The sequence below is a fragment of the Homo sapiens genome, chromosome Y (genome assembly GCF_000001405.40).
Source record: "Homo sapiens chromosome Y, GRCh38.p14 Primary Assembly".
NCBI lineage: Eukaryota > Metazoa > Chordata > Mammalia > Primates > Hominidae > Homo > Homo sapiens.
The window spans coordinates 20,113,437-20,116,987 of NC_000024.10; the positions used below are offsets into that span (position 1 = coordinate 20,113,437).

The 3,551-nt window shown below is 42.6% G+C and overlaps 1 annotated feature.

The window, feature by feature from the left end:
• Positions 2,047–3,246: an enhancer, noted in NCBI's record as "BRD4-independent group 4 enhancer chrY:22277369-22278568 (GRCh37/hg19 assembly coordinates)". NCBI's record gives its function as "activates an origin of replication core promoter dependent on BRD2, P300/CBP, MED14 and CDK7 cofactors, and independent of BRD4, by STARR-seq in HCT116 cells {active_cell/tissue: HCT116}" and the evidence as "EXISTENCE:reporter gene assay evidence [ECO:0000049][PMID:35650434]".

Here is a 3,551-nt window from a genome sequence, read left to right on the forward strand (position 1 = left end):
TGAGTGTTACAGCATATAAAGGTGTTATGTCTAGAGTTTGGTCCTTCAGATATGTCCAGAGTTTCTTCCTTCGGGCAGGTTCATGGTCTTGCTCACTTCAAGAATGAAGCTGCAGACATTATTGTTGAGGGTTACAGCACTTAAATGTGTTATGTCCAGAGTTTTTCCTTCAGATATGTCCAGAGTTTCTTCCTTCTGGCAGGTTCATGGTCTTGCTCAATTCAAGAATGAAGCTGCCGACCTTAGTGGTGAGTGTTACAGCACTTTAAGGTGTTATGTCCAGAGTTTGTTCCTTCAGATGTGTCCAGAGTTTCTTCCTACTGGCACGTTCATGGTCTTGCTCACTTCAAGAAAGAAGCTGCAGACCTTAGTGGTGAGTGTTACAGTACTTAAAGGTGTTATGTCCAGAGTTTTTTCCTTCAGATGTGTCCAGAGTTTCTTTCATCTGGCAGGTTCATGGTCTTGCTCACTTCAAGAGTGAAGCTGCAAAATTTATTGGTGATTGTTACAGCACCTAAATGTGTTATGTCCAGAGTTTGTACCTTCAGATGTGTCCAGATATTCTTCCTTCTGGCATGTTAATGGTCTTGCTCACTTCAAGAAAGAATGAAGCTGCAGACCTTTACGGTGAGTGTTACAGCATATAAAGGTGTTATGTCCAGAGTTTGGTCCTTCAGATGTGTCCAGAATTTCTTCTATCGGGCAGGTTCATGGTCTCGCTCACTTCAAGAATGAAGCTGCAGACCTTATTGGTGAGGGTTACAGCACGTAAAGGTGTTATGTCCAGAGTTTTTTCCTTCAGATGTGTGAAGAGTTTCTTCCTTCTGGAAGGTTCATGGTCTTGCTCACTTCAAGAATGAAGCTGCAGACCTTAGTGGTGAGGGTTACAGCAGTTAAAGGTGTTATGTCCAGAGTTTATTCCTTCAGATGTGTCCAGAGTTTCTTCCTTCTGGCAGGTTCATGGTCTTGCTCACTTCAAGAATGAAGCTGCAGACCTTAGTAGTGAGTGTTACAGCACTTAAAGGTGTTATGTCCAGAGTTTTTTCCTTCAGATGTGTCCAGAGTTTCTTTCATCTGGCAGGTTCATGGTCTTGCTCACTTCAAGAGTGAAGCTGCAAAATTTAGTGGTTATTGTTACAGCACATAAAGGTGTTATGTCCAGAGTTTGTTCTTTCAGATGTGTCCAGATATTCTTCCTTCTGGCATGTTCATGGTCTTGCTCACTTCAAGAAAGAATGAAGCTGCAGACCTTTACGGTGAGTGTTACAGCATATAAAGGTGTTATGTCCAGAGTTTGGTTCTTCAGATGTGTCCAGAATTTCTTCTTTCGGGCAGGTTCATGGTCTTGCTCACTTGAAGAATGAAGCTGCAGACCTTGGTGTTGAGTGTTACAGCATTTTAAGGTGTTATGTGCAGAGTTTGTTCCATCAGATGTGTATAGAGTTTCTTCCTTCTGGCAGGTTCATGGTCTTGCTCACTTCAAGAGTGAAGCTGCAGAATTTAGTGGTGAGTGTTACAGCACTTAAAGGTGTTATGTCCAGAGTTTGTTCCTTCAGATGTGTCCAAAGTTTCTTCAATCTGGCAGGTTCATGGTCTTGCACACTTCAAGAGTGAAGGTGCAGAATTTAGTGGTGAGTGTTACAGCACTTAAAATTGTTATGTCCAGAGTTTGTTATTTCAGATGTGTCCAGATATTCTTCCTTCTGGCAGGTTCATGGTCTTGCTCACTTCAAGAAAGAATGAAGCTGCTGACCTTTACGGTGAGTGTTACAGCATATAAAGGTGTTTTGTCCAGAGTTTGGTCCTTCAGATGTGTCCAGAAGTTCTTCCTTCGGGCAGGGTCATGGTCTTACTCACTTCAAGAATGAACCTGCAGACCTTGATGGTGAGTGTTACAGCACTTAATTGTGTTATATCCAGACTTTGTTCCATCTGTTGTGTATAGAGTTTCTTCTTTCTGGCAGTTTTATGGCCTTGCTCACTTCAAGAATGAAGCTGCAGAACTTAGTGGTGAGTGTTACAGCACATAAAGCTGTTATGTCCAGAGTTTGGTCCATCACATATGTATAGAGTTTCTTCCTTCTGGCAGGTTGATGGACTTGCTCAATACAAGAACGAAGCTGTAGACCTTTACGGTGAGTGTTACAGCACTTAAAGGTGTTATATCCAGAGTTTGTTCCTTCAGATGTGTCCAGAGTTTCCTTCTTCTCTCAGGTTCATGGCCTTGCTCACGTCAAGAATGAATCTCCGGACGTTTACGGCGAGTTTTACAGCATTTAAAAGTGGTATGTCCAGAGTTGTTCCTTCAGTTTTGTTCAGAGTTTCTTCCTTCTGGCAGGTTCATGGTCTTGCTCACTTCAAGAATGAAGCTGCAGACCTTGGTGGTGAGTGTTACCGCACTTAAAGGTGTTATGTCCAGAGTTGGTTCCATCAGATGTGTCCAGAGTTTTTTCCTTCTGGCATGTTCATGGTCTTGCTCACTTCAAGAAAGAATGAAGCTGCAGAACTTTACGGTGAGTGTTACAGCATATAAAGTGTTGTGTCCAGAGTTTGTTCCTTCAGATGTGTCCAGAGTTTCTTCCTTCTGGCAGGTTCATTGTCTTGCTCACTTCAAGGATGAGGCTGCAGACCTAGGTGGTGAGTGTTACAGCACTTAAAGGTGTTATGTCCAGAGTTTATTCCTTCAGACGTGTCCAGAGTTTCTTTCTTCTAGCAGGTTCATGGTCTTGTTCACTTCAAGAATGAAGCTCCAGTCCTTTACGGTGAGTGTTACAGCACTTAAAGGTGTTATGTCCAGAGTTTGTTCCTTCAGATGTGTCCAGAGTTTCTTCCTTCTGGCAGGTTCAGGGTCTTGCTCACTTCAAGAATGAAACTGCAGACCATTACGGTGAGTGTTACAGCACTTAAAGGTGTTATGTCCAGAGTTTTTTCCTTCAGATGTGTCCAGTTTCTTCCTTCTGGCAGGTTCATGGTCTTACTCACTTCAAGAAGGAATCTGTAGACCTTTACGGTGAGTGTTCCAGAACTGAAAGATGTTATGTCCAGAGTTTGTTCCTTCAGATATTTGCAGAGTTTCTTCCATCTGGCAGGTTCATGGTCTTGCTCACTTCAAGAATGAAGCTGCAGACTTTGGTCGTGAGTGTTACAGCACTTACAGGTGTTATGTCCCGAGTTTGTTCCATCAGATGTGTCCAGAGTTTCTTCCTTTTGGCAGGTACATGGTCTTGCTCATTTCAAGAATGAAGCTGCAGACCTTAGTGTTGAGTGTTACAGCACTTAAAGGTGTTATGTAAAGTGTTTTTTCCTTCAGATGTGTCCAAAGTTTCTTCAATCTGGCAGGTTCATGGTTTGCTCACTTCAAGAATGATGTTGCAGAGCTTTACGGTGAGTGTTACAGCACTTAAAGTTGTTATATCCAGAGTTTGTTCCTTCAGATGTGTCCAGAGTTTCTTCCTTCGGGCAGGTTCATGGTCTTGCTCACTTCAAGAATGAATGAAGCTGCAGACCTTTACGTTGAGTGTTACAGCATATAAAAGTGTTATGTCCAGAGT